At 44.0% G+C, this 23,479-nt stretch overlaps 1 protein-coding gene across 31 annotated transcripts in view; it reads right to left on the bottom strand.

The window, feature by feature from the left end:
• SH3KBP1 (SH3 domain containing kinase binding protein 1) overlaps window positions 1-23,479 on the bottom strand; it is a 353,624-nt gene that overhangs the window by 27,347 nt on the left and 302,798 nt on the right. For all 31 annotated transcript variants that reach the window (NM_001353890.2, NM_031892.3, NM_001353892.2 and 28 more), the window contains one exon: window positions 7,780-7,865. In NM_001353890.2, coding sequence (NP_001340819.1) covers window positions 7,780-7,865 — 86 coding nt within the window. The remainder of the gene's footprint in view (window positions 1-7,779; window positions 7,866-23,479) is intronic.

The following is a 23,479-nucleotide window of genomic DNA, read 5'->3' on the forward strand; positions in this document are numbered from 1 at the left end:
TGAGCTATTTCTCATTTGTAAACATCAGGAGAAGGTAAAAAGGATTTAAAGTGCTCTGAAAAATCTGACACTCCATGACTTTTTCTTAGGAAAAAAATTACAAGTAATCCTATCTCTATCAAAAAAAAAAGTTAATCTGCTAATTGTACATTTCTGGACACTTAAGTTTTTACCTGAGCCACTGCTTCAACGCCTGACTCTCTCTAGGGCCTTTTCCTTGCCCCCAACATTTCTCTTTCCCGCCACCTTCCATCTTTGCAGATGTGAGCTGGACCTATGGTTTTCAAAAGAACTGGCACGTGTCTGCGCCAAGGTTATCACCAGTCATAATGCACTGAGAAAAAGGTCAACATTGTGAGTTTCCCATTAAGCTAAATTTGTTCAATTTTACACTTGGAGATTATACCCTTTCCAGTAGGAGATGGCATTTGTTTATTTTGAATGTGCATCATTAATAAAAGAAAAATCAAGCCGTCTCCCAAATTGAAAGCCTTTTTTTTTTTTTTTTGATAAATGAGCCTGTGAAATTCCAAACAGTATGAACCTCAGGGAGACATGGCTAAGGCGTGGGGAGATGAAGAGAGTGTCACTATAGGTTATGCAAAGGTAAGCTTGGTTCTAAATCAGGGCATCCTGCTGACCTCCAACTCCAACCTTCGCTTGCCACCACCACATCCAATGACCTTTTAATGGGGCCCATCAATGTCACTCTCCAACTGCTAATCACTTTTCTCTTGCAATGAATCAAACTTTACAGGCTCCTAACCTTGGCCAAGGTTTCCAGAACATGCTTTAATGAGAGTCCATGGCTAAATAAGGATTTTGATAATTTACTTAATAAAGTGATACCAGAACAAAATACTTAATAAAATGTCGTGTGTCCATAATGCTTTTAATGTGACAAAGGGATGCCTGAGCACAATTTTCTGGTAGACTGTACATTCCTCTGGATATTTGCAAGTAAAACGGAAGCCATAACTGGGCTCTGCCAATCCATGAGCCCACAGCCAGGGGACAGGGGGAGGGGGGCACCTCAAGCCAAATAAATGCCATGTGAGATCTGAGAGCTGAACATCACCTGTTCCCTTGCTTCCACATTCATTTTCAGTTCAGAGACCTCTGTGGTGTATACTGTGGATGCAGCAAAGGTCACTATATAAGTCTCTTTGTTCTATGAGACTACTTTGAATCCACTGGGTGTACCTCCAGATTTGCATTCTTAAATCTGTAGGTACACCCAGTACCTCCAGAATACGGCACTAGAATACGGTCTCAGCATGTAGCAAACATAGAGGCACTCAAGCCATCAGACTGAATGATGAACGAGAGCGCTGGCCACAGAGATGCAGGCGACCACATTACCAGGGGAGGCAGGACATGCTGACTCTGCACATAGGTGAGCATTTGGGGCTGCCTGCAAGTCCACACAGCTACTAGCCTCTGTGACCCTCTCCAAGCCAACAGCCATCTGAATTGATGCTCCCTAAATGTCCCTCCACCTCTCTCAGGTCAGCTATTTTGCAGGCTGGTGGGTATAGAGCACTTGGGTAGGACAGTACTAATTTGCTCTCTGTATATTGGAATAATTCATACCACCAAATGCACTGCTGCAGTGAGGTTCTGCAACATTTGCCATCATGTCCCCACTTTGACGTAATCTCCCCCTGTTTCTATAGCATTTGTGAGGCTTTTCCTACAGGCACTTTCAATGTTTACTGAGTTTGCGCTTATGGGATGTTATGGGGTAAAAGATGTTCGTGAAGACCCTCATAACTAAGCACAAACCCAGCCACCGTGATGGACCACCAAAGGCCAGCAGGACCGCCCTGTGCAAGGTGCACAGGCAGAGGTGAGCACCTCGGTTCTGGTGAGGATCAACATCTTTGACTGAGAAAGTCTAAGTGGAGATGCTCATTTTACACCCAAGATCAGGCCCTTCAAAGGGCCCTGAAGGACCATCTCCTGTAGGACTGGAGGATGCCTTTCGAAATGAGTGCTGGTTGCCAACTTGACCTTGTTTCCTCAGCAGCACACCTCCACTGTGAGCCTGAGAGGCTGGGAACCAGGGGAGGGCTCAAGGGCGATGCAGGGAGAAGGCCATCCACAGAAGCTGTTCTGAATTAGCTACGCCTCTGTAAGTTCGAGGAAGGAACCCAAAATGCTCAGAGGATTGCCTGGGTTAAAAACCCATCAATCAGAAGCGCAACCTGTTTCACTTCCTTTGTATAAAGCGTTTGACCCTCAGCACAATCTCTTTTGCTTTCTGTCATCACACTTGAGAAATGTATAGTGCTTTTCAGCTACTCCTGACAAAAATTTAAGTTTGATCACGATTTGTGTCCCTAGATAGGGACCGGAGCTGCACACGTCCACACATGGGCACCGCAGCCCGTCATATGCAGACTTGACTGTAGACCAGTAGCAACCGTATCTCCTGTTCTTCAGCACAGGTAACATCAACCATGTCCTTGGTCCCAAAGGCTGTGTCTGAAGGTTGCCAGTAAGGAGACAGTGTCTGTAGGAGCCAGCCGTGGCTCTTCAGTGAAAGTTCTCATGTCTGAGCAACTAATCCCGAGAGAGCTGGAAGGCGCGGCTGTTGTTCACACACACGCTCAGCCAGTAGTCAATCTGGAACACTCCAAGTGTCATTCATGGGTTTTTGTTTTTTTTTAATGGCAGGCAGGACACAGTATATCTTGTTTTATTGAACCTGAGCAATTGCTCAATGATCTGACATGCTGCAAGGACCAATAACTGGCTCTCTGGCTCCAAAAGGGGAAGTTTAAAATATGTATTTTAAAAACAGGACAGAAAAACCAATAGCCCCAAGTCAGGAGATCTGAATTTTTCCTCAAAATTTGTATGAGAAACCCTTAGAAGTGATTTATTATCATGAAAGGTAGAAATTGCAAAATAAGGTAAGAATGTAATCACTTGTTTGTAGACATTTGGTGTCACATTCACAAAAATGTTGTGTTAATGGTCGCTATTACAATTGCTCTCTCTTGCTCTCCTGTATAACTTTACCATACAGAGTACAGATTTAGAACTTAGTATTGATCAAATTTGTTATTGTCCTTTTATGTAATACCCGTTTAAACACTGGGTAGTTGATCTTTGGCAAATATCTAATCACAAATCCAATACTCTTTCTATTTGAAATCAGACTCAAATGGTATCATTTCACTTGCTGCAAGCCTTAAGATGGCCCCTCTCCCCTCTCTTCTCTCGCCTCTCTCTCTCTCTCCCCCCCCTTCCTCTTTCTCTCTCACAAAGGTCACAGTCATGTCCTTGGTTGATGTTTAATTACTTCAAATATAATTACTTTTTTGTATATGAAATATTTTCAAACTAGGTTTTATAGAGATTCTCAGGAAATGAGACAGGCCACTCCAGGGAACACAAGTTGCACTTGCAGGGGAAGCCTGTCCTCTTCCTGTTCCTAACACAGACTGGGCTCTCTGGGCCTCGGTGCTATTGACATTTGGGGCTGGGTCATTCTTTGTTGTCTGTGGGGGCTATCCTACACACTGGTGGATGGTTAGCAGCATCCTTGGCCTCTATCCACTAGATGCCAGTAGCATCTCCACCCCCACCCCTATGATGTGACAGTCAAAAATGTCTCCAGACATTGCCAAATGTCCCCTTGGGGAGAGCAGTTGAGAAATGCTGATGTGGACCTAGAAGGTTTGGGCTCATGGGTCAGAGAGACCTGGCTTCAACTCCAATTTTTTTTTTTTTTTTTTTTTTTTTTTGAGGCGAAGTCTCGCTCTTGTCCCCCAGGCTGGAGTGCAGTGGTGCAATCTTGGCTCACTGCAACCTCCGCCTCCCGGGTTCAAGCGATTCTCCTGCCTCAGCCTCCCAAGTAGCTGGGATTACAGGCGCCTACCACCACACCCAGCTAATTTCTGTATTTTTAGTAGAGACAGGGTTTCACCATGTTGGCCAGGCTGGTCTCGAACTCCTGACCTCAGGTGATCTGCCCGCCTTGGCCTCCCAAAGCGCTGGGATTACAGGTGTAAGCCACCGCGCCTGGCCTTCAACTCCAATTTCTTACTAGCCAGATAATCTTGCTCAGTTTCCCCAGCTTGCTTTCTTCCCTGTTCCTTCACTGTAAAAACATGAGTCATTACACATCCTTCATAGGGCTATGGACGGTGAGAAAAAAATAGACAAAACATTTAGTGGGCACCCAGTGAATATTAGTTCTTTCTTTCCTTACTCTTGCTTGCTCTCACTGCTCTTATTTCAACACTAGAACCTCAGGACGATGGAAGAGGGGAGATGAAGGGGGAGGGTTTGTTCTCCACTATATTAGCAGAATGATTCTAACACAAGGATATTCCACACACAGCTCCTGTACTCACACTGTACCTCAACGAGGATTAAAAGTTATAAAGGCATGTTCTACCCCAAACATGCTTACAAAACACTCTTAATCCTTTCTAACGCTTTGGGATTATTGTTTCACCAGGGTTGTAATCAGCTACAGATCAAAGTCCAGGTGGACCTTGATTTTTTAAAATGGTGTACAACAATACACACATTTAACACCCTAAGGGGACGTTTTACATTACAAAATGATTACTAGGTTTTGGAGACCTTTTTTTTTTTTTTTAAGATGGAGTTTTGCTCTTGTTCCCCAGGCTGGAGTACAGTGGTGTGATCTCGGCTCACTGCAACCTTTGTCTCCCGGGTTCAAGCGATTCTCCTGGGCTGAGGTGGGAGGATTGCATGAGCCCAGGAGTTAGAGGCTGCAGTGAGCAATGATTGCACTGTTGCACTCCAGCCTGGGTGACAGAGCAAGACTATCTCAAAACAAAAATACCATTAACTTGAGAAGATATAGCCTTCTAGGATTAATGTCTCTGTGGCAAAGAGAGAGAGAAAACCAAACCTCAGTACTCTATTTCTGGGCTCCCAAATATATGCAACTGTGCTTAGTTTCCACAGCATGAAAAGCTTCTATAGGTGAACCCGCCCCCCCATCAATACCCCCAATATTTCCACACTAGCTCATCAGACTGAAAAACATGTGATTCATATTTTCATGATAGCGATCATAGACATCTCCAGACCCAAAGAATGCAAAGGTCAAAGGTGAATGCTCTTAGCAAGCAAGACAGATTATCCTGTATATTCTGGAGGAGGGAGAATACCTCCCTTCCTATTGACATGAGGGAGGTGACAAGACAGCCTCCTGAGGTCGCACATGACCTTCACCAACCAGCCACCCTGGCTTAAAACAGGGCCCAAATACGAAACTGCGGTGGTAGAACCGGAACTTAGGCTCATTCTGACAATCCCCTTTCATTCACAGCCAATTACTGCTCTGCTCTGCTCTGCCTGCACTTTAAGCAGAACAAAAGCTACAGCAGGCCAGAGTTTCTGTTATTGCATCAGCCCAAGCTATCAGGTTATGCTTCCTGACTGGGCTTCTCAAGGGCTGAGGATGTAAACGAGCTTGTGGAAACAGGGGAAGTACTTTTGGCATTAACAGTCACAGTCACACATCCTAGCCCCAAGCCTGCATGAGATCAGACCAGAGACTGCAGGTCAGCAGTTGCAAAGATGCAACTCTATCAGCAGATTCAGAGGAAAACAGCACCCAAACAGAGGGACAGCAGCAGGAGAGCAGAATGCTCATGTTGAGAGCTCTAGTGCTCTTACAAGGCCTGCCAACCATCGCACATCTGTTTCTAAAGTGAGTGGCCCAAGCAGATGATGCTGGAAAGCTATCTTCCATGTCAAATCAATCCCTGATAGTGCTTGCCAGAGGTTAGGGAAGGGGGTGGGCTGGAGAAAGGTGGGTGTGGCTTAACAAGAGTAACACAAGGGATCTAGTGGTGATGGAAATGTTCTATGTCTTGACTGGTGGTAGATACACAAACCTACATGTATGATAAAATTGCAGGCTGGGTGCGGTAGCTCACAGCTGTAATCCCGGAACTTTGGGAGGCTAAGGTGGGAGGATCGCTTGAGCCTAGGAGTTCGAGACTAGCCTGGGCAACATAGTGCAACCCCACCTTTACAAAAAATACAAAAATTAGTCAGGCATGGTGGCATGTACCTGTGGTCCCAGCTACTCAGGACGCTGGGGTGGGAGGATCGCTTGAACCTGGGAGGCAGAGGTTGCAGTGAGCCGAGATCGTACCACTGCACTCCAGCCTGGGTGACAGAGCAAGACTCCATCTCAAAAAAAAAAAAAAAAAAAAAAAAAAAAAAAAAAAAAAAATATATATATATATATTGCATAGAGCGAAATACACACAGAAGTACTAGTAAAACTGTGAAAATCTGAGTAAGATTGGTGGATCATATCAATGTCAATATCTTAGTCATGACAGTGTACTATAGTTCTGTAAGATGTTACTATTGGGGAGAAACTGAGTAAAGGGTACACAGATTTCTATTACTTCTTACGACTGCATGTGAATCTACAATGACTTCAAAATAAAAAGTTCAATTAAAACAAAGTAAATTTTAAAATTCAGCCTTCTATATTATGTAGAATACGAGAGAATGCTAACTTATGACCTTGATAGGTACAAACAGAAGATGTAAAGCTAAAAAAAATTTATACTATTTGGCCATAAAAACGAGATCCTATCATTTGCAACAACATGGATGGAACTGAAGATCATTATGTTAAGTGAAATAAACCAGGTGCAGAAAGAGAAACATTGCATGTTCTCACTTATTTGTGGGATCTAAAAATCAAAGCAATTGAACTCATGGCGGTAGAGAGCAGAAGGATGATTACCAGAGGCTGGGAAGGGTAGTACAGGGCTGGGGTGGGGAGGCGGTGGGGATGGTTAATAGGTACAAAAAATATAGTTAGAAAGAATGAATAAGACCTACTATTTGATAGCACAATAGCATCTCTATAGTCAATAATAATTTAATTGTATATTTTAAAATAGTGTAATTGGACTGTTTATAACTCAAAGGATAAATGCTTAAGTGGATGGGGAAAAATATGTTGAAATGAAGACTTGCACATGGTTGCAAGTTTTTCTTAAAGCAGGTCATTTTCCTCTTCCCAAGAAATGTGATAGCCTGTTGCTAAACAATATGATTATTTTTATATATTTCTATCATTAAATGGCCTTTATGTCAAAAAATAAAATAAAATAATAAGAAAAAATTAGTCCCTGAATCTGGACTTCTTAAAAGGGTTGTCACCCAGGTCAGACCACTAGTGGCCTTAACAGCACACCGGTGGCCTCACACCCACTCACGTACACCTCCAAAAGGACCTCTGACTTTTATTTACCCAGAGAGACTGTAGCTCCCTCCCATTTATCACATGGTGGTATCCTGACCTTGGGAAAACTCACTCATGTTCTGAACTAAGTGGCAATTACCATACCAAAGCTCATTTGAAACTCAGTCAAAAGTGCTGTATCAACAATGAACCCTGCCATCTCACATTTGCATCCATCCACCTTTTTACACAAAATACACAAATCACTGGAAACTGTGAACATAAGGGCTAATGCCCACTTTTTACAAAAAGGCTTATTCATCATTTCTTTTCATTAGATCTTGTAAGGAATTTCTCCTAGGGAGGGGAAAGGTCCCAGGCATTGTGTTTTAATGTGGAAAGCACCATCATTTCCCTTCTTTACAAAACTGTAACACCTAAAGCCAAGCAAGGGTGCCAGCCTGGCATTTCAATGGCTTTATTACTTCTCATCATGCTGGTTGAAGGCAAGCCAGGCTCTGAGGTTCTTTACTAACTCTGCAAAGAGAAGCGAGAACACTGTCCTTACTCACCAATGTCATTGCTGCGGTCCGAGAGATCTTTGTCCAGGATGCCAGATAGCGAACTGCCGGCCAAGTCAATCTTTGGACTGTCACCCCTACATTAAAAACACAAGCCCAGACATTTAATAATTGGTGTGTGTCCTTGTCATTCTGTCAGTTTTCTTGCTGCACACGTTAAGGAGTGTGCTGGTGTGGAGTGGATGGCACTGTTGCCTGTGAGGGAGCCAGAGAACCAACGAGCTGTCTAGCCACATGAGATGGGGTGCAGACCAGCTGACAGGCTGGATGCGTCCCTCTCCAGCACACGTTTTCAAAAATGGCTATTTTAATAATGACTGTTCGCCCATGTACTTCCAGCCACAAACCCTCCTGCTGGGTACACAGGGTGCAGTATAGGGCCTGCTCCTGCCCTGCGGCCAAATAAACACTGGCTAATGATAACTGGGAGCTTTCCTTTTAAGGAACAAGGAATTTAGCCAATGCTGCTTGTCAAAGGTCAGCTACTTTCAACCTTGAGAAAAAGGTTTTCTGGCCTGGGGTTGTGGCATCAGCCAGGCTGTTGAAAGGCACAAGGTGTCGAGTTGAGATCTGGCGGCCTGAATGCTGGTGCTGGGGCTCAGGCCTGTAACATTAGACGGCTCCTGGATGGGTGCCCCATGCTCATCAGGACACGAATGACTTCCCTCTGTATCTGGGCTAGGAGCAGCTCTATGGGATGGGAACAGGCCTCCAAGATGACGAGAGAAACCTAGCCTTCTCATGCACAAACAGAAGGTTCCTCCAAATTACTCCACAAGACAGCTCTTTGCACCCTTTTGGGGGGATGAGTCACAAACGAGTTTATCCAAGGGCTATGAGAGCGGTGAAATAGGAAAAGATCCTTGCCCATAAAATGAGAGAGAGAAGCTGAGCAGTTGTTCCCAGCAAAGTAACAGAAATAGTCCATCTCACCGCCCCGAAGGCCACCATGGCCTGAAGTTACACCTCACAATGAGTAGTACCAGATTTAGTCAACAAGCACTTGTCATGTGCCACTTGTGCTGTGGGTATTCAGAGGTGTGCCTACTCTGGAATGGCTTGTGGTCTAAATGGGAGAGACAGCCAGCCAGCCACAGGTACACATGGCCTAGGCTATAAGACGCAGGTGTCACAGTCCTATTAGAAGAAAGGAGTGGGTCAGTGCAGGAGATCTGTGAGGCAGAGGGTAGTGGGCAAGGAGGTGGTGTTACACTTGAGCCTTGGAGGAAAAGGGAGAGAGGACATATTCCTAAGAGGTGTGACTGAGCAATGACTCCAGTGTAGGTGAGAGTGCCAGTGTGGCCAAGTCCCCCGGGACCAAAGCCTGAAGTCCTCAGAGAGAAGTGACAGGACAAAGGCTGGCAAGGTTGGTGAACACCTGACTGCTGGGCCGGATACTACAGGGCTTGTTTTGTCTGGGAGGCAATGAGGGGCCGAGGGACGGTTGTAGCAGGAGACCTGTATACCTGGAGGTCAGGTCAGGGCAGGTGCTGTGGGTAAACTCCAAACCAGGGAGCTGACAGGACAGACTGCTGCGTTTTTCACTCAAAGAATGGGTGGTGAGCAGGGCACGGTGGCTCACATCTATAATCCCAACACTTTGGGAGGCAGAGATGGGAGCATTACTTGGGCCCAGGAGTTTGGGACCAGCCTGGGCAATGTGGTGAAAACCCATCTCTACAAAAAATACTAAAATTAGCCAGGTGTGGTGGTGCACGCCTGTGGTCCCAGCTACTTGGGAGGCTGAGGCAGGAAGATCACCTGAGCCCAGGGAAGTTGAGGCTTCAGTGAGCCGTGATCGTGCCACTGCACTCCAGCCTGTGTGACAGAGTGAGATCCTGTTTCAAAAAAGGGAGTGTTTGTGGGCGCATTTGGCACAACATGCATATTTTTGTGATGGGAGAAAAGGACCAATGGAAGGAGGTGAGTCCTCCTCAACTCCCAAGCAAAAAACACTGCCTCTTAACCTCAAGCATCCTCCACCGCAGGAGGGGCAGGGGTAAGAATACCAGGGACCAGGCCTAGGCCTAATGGCTTGGCCTCCACTAAGAGAAAATACAGCTCCAAGACTGTCCTGGGAGTGTGTGCTATGATGCTGGCTGGGCCCTTCCAAGCTAGGCTGAAATAGAAGTTCAGGTAGAGCATGAACTCCTGTACTTGGAAAGGAGAAGCAGCTTAGGCTTCAGAGAAGGACCTTTATTTCCTGCCTCACCCTAACTTCCTAAGGCTGTGGGCTCCCCTAGGCTAGGTTTCCACAGCAGACTCCCTCTCCGTCCCCTGGCTACCCAAGCTTGGGCCCCACCAGGGCCATTGCCTCAGACTGATCCCGAGCCAACAGAAAGGGCAGGATGGAGGACATTTATTTCAAAACATTTCACTGTCAGGGCCCCAGCACCCACTAATTTGAAGGTAACCTGAATGAAATGTTTCAGAAATGCAGAATTATTAGCAGAAATGCATTTTCATTTTTAAGAGTTTTCCCCAGATATAAAGAAATACATTCCTGGGGACCCTTAAACATCATTACCTGGGATCCACAGATCCCAGAAGGATTGGGTGCTGCCATCCTTCAAAATAACAGACTAAACACAAATTATACTCACAACCAGACAGCTCTGTCCTTTTTGAAACACACCAAAGATCAAAACTTATAAGACCACATGTCCTGCCCAGGAGAAAGAGAGCACTCAGGCAGTGAGTTTAGTGAACTCTACTTGGCTTTTTTTTTTTTTTCCAGTCAAGAGGGAAAGATGGTTTGAGGTGATACCCTGTGGGCAGCTGGGGTTAAGTCAGAGGGGCTGCTGGCAGAAAGATGAAGTTTTGCTCATGAGTTAATCACATGTATCTCAGAACAGCTCAGCAGTTTCTGAACATGTGGCTTATTTGTGTATTATGGTAACTGTCAATCTGGGAGCTGCTGTTTCCCTCTGCGATTTGACAGCTGGAAGCTTCCAATCAAATGTGAGCCCGTCTCCAGAAACTTTAGAGGACCCTATTGTGCATTACTATGCTTTATTACTTTACTGCTCTTATTTTCCTTTTATTGTCATTCTCAACTATTCTTTTATATATATAAAGTACATATATATGTTATATATAGTACATATGTTATATATAGTACATATATATGTTATATAGAGTACATATATGTTATATAGAGTATATGTTATATATAGTCATATATGTTATATATAGTACATATGTTATATAGTACATATATATGTTATATATAGTACATATATATGTATATATAGTACATATATGTTATATATAGTACATACATATGTTATATATAGTACATACATGTTATATAGTACATATATGTTATATAGTACATGTTATATATAGTACATATATACTATATATAGTACATATATGTTATATATAGTACATATATATGTCACATATATGTACTCTCTCTCTCTCTCTGTCTATATATAAAAGAGTAAAATGTTTTTGTTTTTTTAAGACATGGTCTCATTCTGTCGCCCAGGCTGGAGTGCAGTGGCGTGATCTCGGCTCACTGCAACCTCCACCTCCCAAATGGATTTTATGCATCAGTGTGTTTTTCACAGTGTTATTTGTAATGAAGAAAAACTGAAAAGAACTAGAATCTTTCATAAATAGGAAAACACTTGAATAAACTATGATATTTGATGGACTTTTATATAGCCATCTGAACGATGTTTATAAATGGCTTATACTAACAAGAATGAATGCTTACGTTGCAATGTTAAGGGACAAAGGCAGGTTAAAAACAACACACACAGCAGCACACATATACCCACGTGCCCTCCTGACATATTAGGAAGAGCGATTTTAAGACTGGAAGAAAATTTACAGTGGTTATTCCTGGGTAGTCTGATGGGTGATTTCCACCACCCAGTTCAGTAGCTGGAACATGGCAGGGACTCAAAAAACATCTGTGGAACTAGTGAACATTTGCCAGATTTTCTGAAATGAGAATGCATTATGTATTTGTACAATAAATGCACTTTTCCCTCAATATCTGAAGTTGTATGCTGTTCAGTATGATCACATCTACGGAAAACTGGTGAAAAACAAACAAAATCATATATATAGGAAAAAGACAAGAAAGAAATAGTCCAAAATGTTAATAGTAGTAATCTCTGGGATAAGATTATAGGTAGATTTTTCCTTCCTTTTAAAGTTTACTTTTATTTTATTTTCTTGAGATGGAGTCTCACTCTGTCACCCAGGCTGGAGTGCAGTGGCGTAATCTTGGCTCACTGCAACCTCTGCCTCCTGGGTTTCAGCAACTCTCCTGTCTCAGCCTCCTGAGTAAGTGGGATTACAGGTGCGTGCCACCACATCAGGCTAATTTTTGTATTTTTAGTAGAGACAGGGTTTCACCATGTTGGCCAGGATGGTCTTGAATTCCTGACCGCAAGTGATCTGGCCACCTTGGCCTCCCAAAGTGCTAGGATTACAGGCGTGAGCCACCATGCCCGGCCTAAAGTTTACTCTTAATAATAGCAACTAGAGGCTTATCTAATTCAGGCAGCTCATGTTCTCTCTCCTTTCTCTCCAATAGTATTACCAAGGTAAAAGCTGAGATTGCCTGGATCCTGCCTCACAAACTCTCCTTTAAGAACCACCCAGGCAGTAGGTGGCCCACGAGGTCATCTCTCCCGGGAACTGGTTTGCAGGCCAGGGGTGGAGTTATGAACCCTAGACTTAAAAATCCAGGCCAGGTGTGCTACATCTAAACCTGCTGTTCATCACCCGTGTGACCTTGGCCGGGTTACTTAACCTCTCTGGAACTTGAGTGCTTCATCAACAAAATGACTGGTGGGCTAGCTTCAACAGGATCACCTCCGAGAGGCGTTCTATCTAGAGCTCCTGTTCCATAATTTCAACATCAGAGAAATGTTGGAGTCTGGGGTGGGCTTGGAGTGGAGATGGTCCTGTGAGTTGTGGCAAATTCTGGGACATTTCATCATCTCCTTTGACTCCAAATTTCATGTCTCTGGCCAATGTTGTGAATTCCTTCCCTTCCCACTTGACTTGAGCAAATGTAACTCACCCTTTTAGCACTCAGAGATCCATCTCTCTTCCTCGTGTTTCCTGCAACACACCCCTGTATCGCAACCCTTATCACAGCACTTCATATTTATATATGTACCCAGTAATCTTCCCCACTTATTCTTCAGAATGGGATTTTGTCACTTTTGTTTCCTCCTAGTACAATGCTTTATACATTTATGTATGCCAAAAAGTGTTTAACTAAATGAATAAGCAAACATTGTGATTTTTCTGGGCCTTGTACACGTTAGGAAATAACCTGTGGATAAGTTATATTCTTGATATAGTGTGGATGACTTATAAACAACAGAAATTTATTTCTTACAGTTCTGGAGGCTGGGAAGTCCAAGGTCAAGATGTCAGCAGATTCTGTCTGGTGAGGACCCAGCTTCCTTCTCGCTGTGCCCTCACGTGGTGGAAGGGAGAGGGGTTTCTTTTATAAAGGCATTAATCCCATTCATGAGGGCTTTGCCCCAATGACCTAATCACTTCTCAAAGGCCCCACCTCTTATTCTGTCACCTTGGGAGTGAGGATTTCGACACATCAATTTGTGGGAGGGGGAGGTATAAACATTCAGACCACAGACTTGAGTATAGTGTCAACGCTTTTTAAACAAAAAAATTCTTGCAGATCCCCATGTATATGTCTGTTATGGACTAAATTGTGTCCTCTCAAAATTTATATGTTGAAGTTGAAACCCCTCAATACCTCAAAATGTGACTGTATTTAGAGATGGGCCTTTTAAAGAGGTGATTAAGTTAAAATGAGGCTGTTAGAAGAGGCCTCAGAAGAAACAAACCCTGCAGCTACCTTGATCTTAGACTTCTAACCTCTACAACTGTGAGGAAATAAATTCTGTTGGTTAAGCCACTCAGACTAATACAACATCCCTGTTTGAGAAACCATAAGAAACAAAAAACAGCCAACGACAACGGCTATCAGTGGAAAACTGTTGCCACAAGGGCATTTTGTCTTTGCAACTGTTAAAATTATAAAGAATACCACACAAATGAAAAACAAAGGTGCAAATTGCTTGTAGCTACTAGACGCTCTATCCCCAGTTTTAGGAGCATTGTTCTAATGGCACTGGATAAAAGGAAAAAACTATTATGCTCCAAAGTTGGCCAAGGTAGCTGTCCCTCAAGTGGCATTTAGTGTGACCTGGGGTGAACCCTTGTCAGGGAGGGGCTTCTGACTCAGGAGAGTGTTTTACATCTCTGGGATTTGCCTGCAGGCCCCTTACAGATGGTCGGATAGCCTGAACCACAAGGGACCATCCTGAAGAAATAGGAACTAATCATCCCTGAGCCACTCCTCCCCAGATTCTAAAGCACCAGCCACATGTTGATAGGAAGGAGAGTGGGATCTCTCCAGTCTCTCCAACTGAGCCCTGATCCCTCATGCCAAGCACCAGACACAGGCTTAAGTTGAAATGATCTTCGACACAGGACCAGAAGCAAACCTATTTTGAAAACACAGTAGGTGAAGTTTAAAAAAGGTTCTGATCCTTCCAAGTAGGGAAGCTGCAGCTGGTGTTTTGACAGTGTTCAGACTGTGGGTGTGCAAGCATTTTACAATGTCTATTTGGAAATGCCTTTCACTGTATTTATAGACTCTTAGAACAATGCTAATGAATTTCAGTTCTGAAAAATACCAAAATTTCTGAAATTCTGTGAAGCATGTGTCTGGAGTGGCTGACACCCAATGAGGATGCAGCCCCTCAGTGGTCCCTGTTCTCCCCAGTCTGCCCAGCATGTGGGTACCATTTGGCAAAAGGGATGTTATTAAATTCAGAGAAAAAGGAAAAAGCCCATCCTTTTGTAATTTGCAAGCTCCTGCAAGTGTTTCTGTCTGGTGAGTTTCTATGCCTACAGCTGTTAACTAAAAGGAGAACATAAGAGAAGTCAGGAGATACTACCATATATCCAAAGACATCAGAAGAAAGTTGCCCTTACTTGTTTCTGATTTTTAAATCAAAGTAATGCAATGTTCTTATATTTTACCTAGCAGTTTTCGTTATGGACACTTAGGACACATGACTTGGATAGGCAAGTACTGGCTAAAAGTCTCCTTGTTTTACTAAAGCAGGAACCTAAATCACAGAGAAGAGACTGACGAGCCCAAGCACCACACCAGGTATAAGTAGAACCTATGATCCCATAGAAATAACAGCAGCTCACCCCCTTTGAGAATGAAAAAAGAAAAAGAAAAAAGAAACAACAGCAACAGCTACTGTTTACTGAATGCCTACCATGTGCCAGGCACTAGAATAAGCACTTAAAAAAAAAAGAAAAGAAAAGAAAGAAAGTCTCACTCTGTTGCCCAGGCTGGAGTGCAGTGGCATGATCACAGCTCACTGTAGCCTCGAATTCCTGGACTCGAGTGATCCTCCTGCCTCAGTCTCCTGTGTAGCTGGGATTACAGGTACATGCTACCATGCATGGCTAATTTAAAAAAAATTTTTGTAGAGATGGGGCTCTCACTATATTGCCCAGACTGGTTTTAAACTCCTGGCCTCCAGCAGTCCTCCAGCCTCAGCCTCCCAAGTCACTGGGATTACAGGCATGCTTTAAATACTCAATCCTCACAACCACCCCTTGAGGTACCTACTATGCGCAGCCCCTTGAGTGAAGGGCTCATTGCCCCTACTGCCTGCTGGGAGTGCTGTCAGCAGGCAGCTGCCAGTTGTCAGCTATTCCAGGGACCATCTCAGCTGCAGAGAGCCTCCTCAGCCAAGGCACTCCCTCCCCTCCAGGGCAGCCCACACCCCATGGTATCAAAGTCTCAGCCATCTCAGCCCAACATGGGATGACTCAGATGGGCCATTTTGGCTCCAAAACTTTCCACGAATTTGGCCAAGGCTTTTTGAGCCAGTATCACATCATGACTTCTCCCTCTGCCCAATCCTTCTTCCTTTTTGCTTCATAGGTATTGAACTCTAAAACATATCTTCATGTTAAATGCTGGCTCAGGGTATGCCTTCTAGAGAACCCCACCTGTGACAACCTTGTTTTCATTACGTAGATAAGGAAACTGGGGCTCAGTGAAATTAAGTCACTTGCTGATTAAGGGTCATAAAAGCAGTAAAGTGGCAGGGTCTAGAATTGGGCCTATTAAGTCCAACTCCAGAGCCCAAGCTCTTGACTCCTTCTCGAAGCTGCTTTAGTCAGCCTTCTGGTCTTCCAGGCTGGGGATCTGGCCTTGGAGACAGTGAGTTATCAAGGACGCCAGGCAGCCTGTGTCACCCCGGCTCACTGCCAGCTAAGTAAATTACCTTTGCCTCTCTCAGTTTAAAAGTACTACTAATAAACAAAAATCATGCACTCGACCTATCCAGAGGGGCCTGTTCTTCCCACTCAGACTCAAGATATAAGATGGGGCTCGTGCACAGACGGCAATGTGGAAGATGCACCATGTGCATCTCTCGAGACCATGAACTCAGCCAGTGGCATGGCCCAATTTAGCCTGCGTTGGGACAGTTAAGCCAAGACATGTGGTACAGACAAGGTGTTGAAGTGCACAGGAAGCCAAGGCAAGCAAACAAACAAGTAAATTAGCAGTAGCACTAACAGCAGCCACAAAAAAAAAAATACCAAAAAGAACCCACAAACCTTTTGGAGGTGAGCAAGGATGAAAGAAGAAAGAGCAAATCTACCGATTGCTACTGAACCAGAGTCCAAGTCCATATGGTGACTCTTTTTGGCAGCAACACACCCCTCTCCGCCGCCACCCCGTGCCCCAGAAAGGAGGTACGAGTGTTTGGGCTTCAACTGCCTACAAAATTTGACAAGGAGGAAAGAAAGCTGGGAAGAAAAGGAAAGGAAAAGAAATAGAAACGCCCCATTGCCTGTGCTTAGGAAACCACTGAGGCACACACCACACATCCTCTATTGTTCATCACTTTTCATTGCATTGGGAACAGATGATAATGGATGTCAAATGTGCAGATCCTAGAGAAACCACTCGAATTATCCTATCTTCTTTTTTTATGACAACTTTTTACTTTATTTCAATAGCTTTTGGGGTACACGTGATTTTTGGTTACGTGGATGAATTGTACAGCAGTGAAGTCTGGGATTTTGGAGCACCTGTCACCTGAGAACCTATCTTCTTTCTTTCTCCAACTCTGCAACCTTGCTTATCACTCCCTCCTAGTGTAAAACTACTGCATCTCATTGTTTACCTCTGTGGCCCTGTCCAGTCGGGTGCCTGAGGATACAAGGCCAACGCAAGTAAGCGCTCCCTTCCTGCTCTCCTGGCTGCCTACTTATAACATCTCAGACTTCAGCTCTGATTGTTAAAGGTGAGTAGAGACTACCCAGCTGAAGCCCCCATTTTATTACAGACAGAGGTCCTGTGCTCTGAGAGTGGGGAGTGATATACCCAAGGCCACCTAGTTGATTGGTGGCAGAGCTGGAACCAGATGGAAAGTTCCTCATGCCAAGCCAGTCCAATCTTTTCCTACCACATTTGGGATGGCAATAATGTAAGTGAGCATCCGTGTGCACAGGTTTTATGCTCCAAGAGATGTTTTTCTCTCAAATGAACAGCAACAAGAGGGCCCTGCCCATCTGTGAAGATAGCAGATGCAAAGCCAGTCCTTCAGAAGCATTCTGCCCCAGGAGGGATGTTACTGCTCATGGAACTTGGATCCTTCCATCAGGAAAGGACAAAATGGGAGTATCAGTAATCCCAGTTTCCTTTGCTCCTCAGATGGAGGGCAGGAGGAGCCTCCCTCCCTTTCCCAGAAATCCAAATCCAAAGGTTCTGCTGTTATCTGCTATGAGTCCCCACATACTCACCTGGTAGCCAAAAATGTCCCAGGAATCACAGGAACTTTTGGACTGAAAAAGTGGTACCATTTAAATGTGGGACAAGCAGAGGGAGGCCAGGGGCACAAGAAGCAGAAACCAGAGTGGTTTTCCTGGCAGCTCTCCCTTTGCATCGTGCGTCCTTGTCTGGATAAGCACAAACAAGCTGGGCTATTTATAGATGGTGAAGACACGCTGGAAGGTGATGGGAAAGTGCTCACTCAATTCCCCTCCAAATTCCTGTTCATTGTGCAGACTCTGCAAATATATCTGGAAGCAGGCCTCTCTCCAGAGCCCATCCAGGGCCTGACAAGCCCTGCAATCCACTATGGCACAAGGATGATGACATCCATAGACGTCGCCTGCAAACCCACAGCTTGACATCTCAAAGAGGCGCAAGGGGCTTTAAGGATGCTGAGCCCCCATCTTGGGCAGTGTCTGGAGGAACGAGAATTCATCATCATGTGACTGTGAGAAAAGTTTGCAGGGTGCCGTGTGGAGGAACCGTACTACTCAAAGACATAGCCCATGGAAAACACATTCTAGAAACCAATTAGTACAAAGCATGCGTGAGGTGTTAACATTTCCTACTGTTTCACTGCCTGATTCTGGCCATCAGTGGCAGGAAAATCCATGTGACTCAGCCTGGGCTGAGGCTAAATCCCATCACTATGGTTGATTCACTTTATGTGTGGGAGGAAGGAAAGAGAGTGAGAGAAGATAATATGTACAAGTGGAATGAGGTCAGCAAATCATGCAGATGTCCCTAAAGTATGACAAGGTACTTCCCCCCATGCCTGTGACCTATGGGACTACCTTCCATCAGTTGCTGGCCTTCCCTGGGTCCTGGCTCTTGCTGCAGCTGGGGGAGGCCACTCATGCTTCCACCCGGAGGATGTTCACTTTTCCACTCCCTTGGGGCCCCAGAGCCTGATGCAGGAACCCCTCCCCCATGGAGGTCACAGATTTAGTAAGTGCCTCTCAAGTTGCCAGGCAATGAGCTAGGCCCCTGAGGTGGAGCAGTTTGTTTAAACTCTCCACACCTGAGCAAGGTAGGCCTTGTGGTGTCATTTTGCAGGGGAGGGAACTGAGTGAGACTCAAGGTGGTGAGCACCTTGCACGAAGTCACAGGGTATCTAAGAAGAGGGTTGGGGTTTCAACCCCAGTGTGCCTGGCCCCAAAGCCCAAGCAAGCAGTGGGTGGGCCTGGTTACCATAGTTAACTACTACCTAGAAGAGGGCCAGGGCAAAGGTAGGCACTTAACGAGTATTTGAAACAAACAAATGAATCATACATACACATACACACATATACACACACACAAATTTTCTTTCCTTCCTGAATCTATATCTAGCACCCATTCTCCATCTTTTTTCCATAGCCAATTTCTCACAAGACAAGTCTACCCACGCTTGGCCGCTTGCCCATTCTCTCTTCAACTCACCCCAAATCTGTCTCCTGCCCACAACTGTTGCATGGAAATTGCTCGACTGGGATCACCAAGGGCCAACTAATGAGCAAAGCCTGGGTGTCCCTGGCTCTCGAGATGGCAGTGGTTCTCACAATGTGGTCCCCTGACCAGTAGCAGCAGCAGCAGCAGCACTGGGAGCTTGGGAGAAATGCAAATTCTCAGGCCTTAATTCAGACCTACTGAGTTAGAAACCTGGGGTGCCAGCAATCTGTGTTTCAACAAGCACCCCTAAACACCCGTGATTCGGATGCACGCCCAGGTGTGAGCACTGCTGATCAGTAGTTGCTCCACACTTCCTCCTTCTAGCTTCCATGACATCACACTCCTCCTACCCTTTTGGATGGCTCCTAGGCCTTCCTCCACCCTGTACGCAGTGATTTTCCCTGCTGCTGTCTCTACTCTTTCCTCCTCCTGTTCTCCGTAATCTCCTGCAGTGGTCATATCTATTCCATGCTTGTAACTACCATCTATAAGCCAATGGCATCCACCTCTGTAATTGCTTTTTTTTCTCTTTTTAATTATTTAGAGACAGGGCTTCACTCTGTCACCCAGGATGGACGGTGTGTAGTGGTGCAATCATTGCTCACTATGGCCTTGAACTCCCAGGCTCAAGTGATCCTCCCACCTCAACCTCTCAAGTAGCTGGGACTACAGACATGCAACACCATGCATGGCTAATTTTAAAACTTTGTAGAGATCTCTATGTTGCCTAGGCTAGTCTAGAACTCCTGGCCTTAAGTGATCCTCCTGCCTCTGCCTCTCAAAGCACCGGGATTACACATGTGAGCCACTGCACCAAGCCAACCTCTGTAATTTCTAGCCAAGACTTCTCTCCTGAATTCTCCAAAGATAAGTCTTCATCCTGATTTGTATTAAAGGAGGGAAACACACAAAAATCACACAAGGAATCACTAGGAATCTTTAGAAAGAAATTCACAACACCTGAGTAATCCCAATTCAAAATGATGGGCTAAGCATCCAAGTATTCAGTTTACCTGCTGACTTAGGGAACATTGCACACACTCACTAGCTTTCTCGTCCTCTTTTTTGATTAATGGATTGATTAGTTTATGCCTAATAAAAGCAAAGAGGTCTTTTCTAATGCTTTCTTTTGGTGGGCATGGGAGTTGGACACCTCACGGAGTGATCAGTACCTGGAAGCTTATTTCCTGCTACATCATAACCCCAAGGTCTTAAGCCAAGATGCCTTGGTAAATTTAAAGAAAAAATTAACTTCCATGCTCTTAAGTTGGTCCCAAGAGAGACATCTGCCCTTCCCTATGCACTTAGTTGATGTTTGGCATATAAATGTTTACTTAATCTTTGCCTCAAGCTAAAATGCTTCAGAACTCATCAGTCACTTAACTCCCAGTGTTTCTCTGAAATCCAGTGCTCCAGCATCACTACAGGTTTAAAAAAAAAAAAAAAAAAAAGCGATTCCACTGCGTGCTGCCCCTCCCCTTATCCTATGCTCCAATTCTCTCAGTATAGCCTCCAGCTCTTCACAAGAAGTCCACATGGTATGTTTAACATTTAAAGCAATAGGTCATCTCCAAGTGGCATAGGTCTGGAAAGTCACTGGGCCTCCTACCCACATCCTGGTGTCCATCATCCAACTGCCTATCTTCGAAAGCAATTCCTGGGCACATGTTTCCACATGTAAAGTCAATGGACAGTGACCTCTGGGATGTCTGATTCATAGCAACCAACTCCCCCATATCTGGACCCTTCTCATTGAATGGTCCGCTTCCATCCTGACATTCTCAGCCACCGGCCAAAGCAAAAGCTGTTAATTCTGCTCTGCCCGACAGAGGATAGAGCCAGCAGGCTCACACCACCTGCTACCACACTGTCAAACCCTCTTGTCACTATCATCAACTCCCAGAACACACCAGCACCCATGGGAGGACACTGGCTTGTAGAACACTGGCCTCCCTGACTCCAGCTCTTGCCATCTTCCTGAGCCTATGGTGGCCGCGTGGGTGATCCATCCCCAACTCCGGCCCCTCCTTCCTCGGTATCTTCAGTTCTATGACCTTCATTCATTCATCTTCAGTCACCCACATTTGTGGCCACAACCATTGCGAATGTTTTCATCTTCCAAACAAACCCACCTCCAAGGTTGTAAGCACCAACCTCCCCTTTCTGATCACCATCTCCTGTGCTTCCTTCCAGCCATCAACTTTGCCCTGCTCCCACTCCATCCTTGCTGGCCTCACTTCCTCTCCTTCATCCCAGACCTTCTCCCCACATCTCTAACTCAAGGCTCCCTGACACCTGCCCCTGGCCACTCAGAGAGCATGTGCTACAGCGGGAGACAGGCAAAGCTCCCCAACTCACAGTGAAGGTCCTGCTCTAGCTTCTCTATTCTTTGGGAAGAAAATGACTAATCCTTATGCCTTGGGATGTCTGAGTTTGGGAGGATTAACAAGCCTGCTTTGGACTGGTCAGGCTGCTTCTATCTCTTGCCCTATCAGAATTATTTCCTTTTGAGGGTACACACCTGCCCTGCCCCTCAGGTTTCTTGCTTGCTGCCTTCCACTGCATGCAATTACTAGAGCTAAGGGCAGCCTGCCTCTCTCCAGCATTTCCTTGGGTTTTTCTTTTTCTTCTTTTGGACTCTTCTCCCAAGTCTCAGGAACTCTTTTCACAGAGGAACCCATTTTTATTCAATTGCTAATACACATTATTATTATTATTATTATTATTATTATTATTATTATTATTTTTGAGACGCAGTTTCACTCTTGTTGCCCAGGCTGGAGAGCAATGGTGCAATCTTGGCTCGCTGCAACCTCTGCCTCCCGGGTTCAAGCGATTCTCCCGCCTCAGCCTCCTGAGTAGCTGGGATTACAGGCACCCGCCACCAAGCCTGGCTAATTTTTTGTATTTTTAGTAGAGACAGGGTTTCACCATGTTGGCCAGGCTGGTCTCAAACTCCTGACCTCAGGTGATCCACTTGCCTAGGCCTCCCAAAGTGCTGGGATTACAGGCATGAGCCAGCGTGCCCAGCCCACCATTGAATTTTTAAATCAATGCTGGTATTACATTTTTGAAAGTCTTTTCTTCCTGTTGAAATTCCACATGAACTTACTTTCTAGAAGTGGGGAGAACATTCTTACTAAAGGTCAAGTATATTACTATCTGAGGAAGGGAGCGATCACTGTAAGAGCCTTCATGTGCGTTTCCACTTGCTCAGGCTGAACACAGACTGCTGACTGATGTCACTGTGGTTTTCCTAGATATAATTCCTAAAAACTGTGAACTGGAACACCTGGGTCTGACCAGGACTAATATAATTACTAATTATAGTATTATTATAATTATTAATAATTATGGTGCTATTAATAATATATATTATTTATGTATACTTATAACTATATTAATATACTAATATATTTATTAACACATATGTATATATTTGTTAACATATATTTATATATCAATGGTATATGTTTATATATTTCTAAATATATAAATATATATCATTTATATTTATATTTATAAATATATATTGTTAATATATATTAATGATATATTTCTAAATATTTATATTAACAATATATAAAATATATATTACAAATATATGAATATATATTTGTAATATTCTTTTCTATATTTCAAAATAGATAAATATATATTAATTGTATATACAAAATATACAATGTCCAACTGATTTTATGTTACCATATTAATAATATATATTTATATATAATATATTTATATATATTTATATATAATATATTTATATTTATAAATATATGTCAATATATATTTATATTTATAAATATATATAAATATATGTATATAAATATACAAAATACATATTTATATATATATAAATATATTTATATTTATATTTATAAATATGTATTTATAAATATAAATACACATATATATATTTATGGAGGAAAGGTCTCACTCTGTTGCCCAGGCTGGAGTGCAGTGGCACCATCACAGTTCACTGCAGACTCAACCTCCTGGGTTTAAGCAATCCTCCCACTTTAGCATCCTGAGTAGCTGAGACTACAGATGTGTACCACCATGCCTGCATAATTTTTAAAAATTTTTTTGTAGAGATGTGGTCTCACTATATTGCCCAGGTTGGTCTCGAGCTCCTGGCCTCAAGTTATCCTTCCACCTTGGTCTCCTAAAGTGCTGGGATTACAGACAGGAGCCACTGTACCTGGCCCTGTAATACGTTTTTTGTTAAGTGAATATATCTGAAAGTGATGATGCTTTTCCTAAACTTATGTACAGTATTCCTTTTTTCTGAAAGATGTTAGCTCCTGTTTAAAGAGAAAGAAATTACTCTCCTCTGAAAGCCGCACTTGGCAGCAAGATTACTGGCTGGTGAGAAGC

Source organism: Homo sapiens, chromosome X (assembly GCF_000001405.40).
Source record: "Homo sapiens chromosome X, GRCh38.p14 Primary Assembly".
NCBI classification, from domain to species: Eukaryota; Metazoa; Chordata; class Mammalia; order Primates; family Hominidae; genus Homo; species Homo sapiens.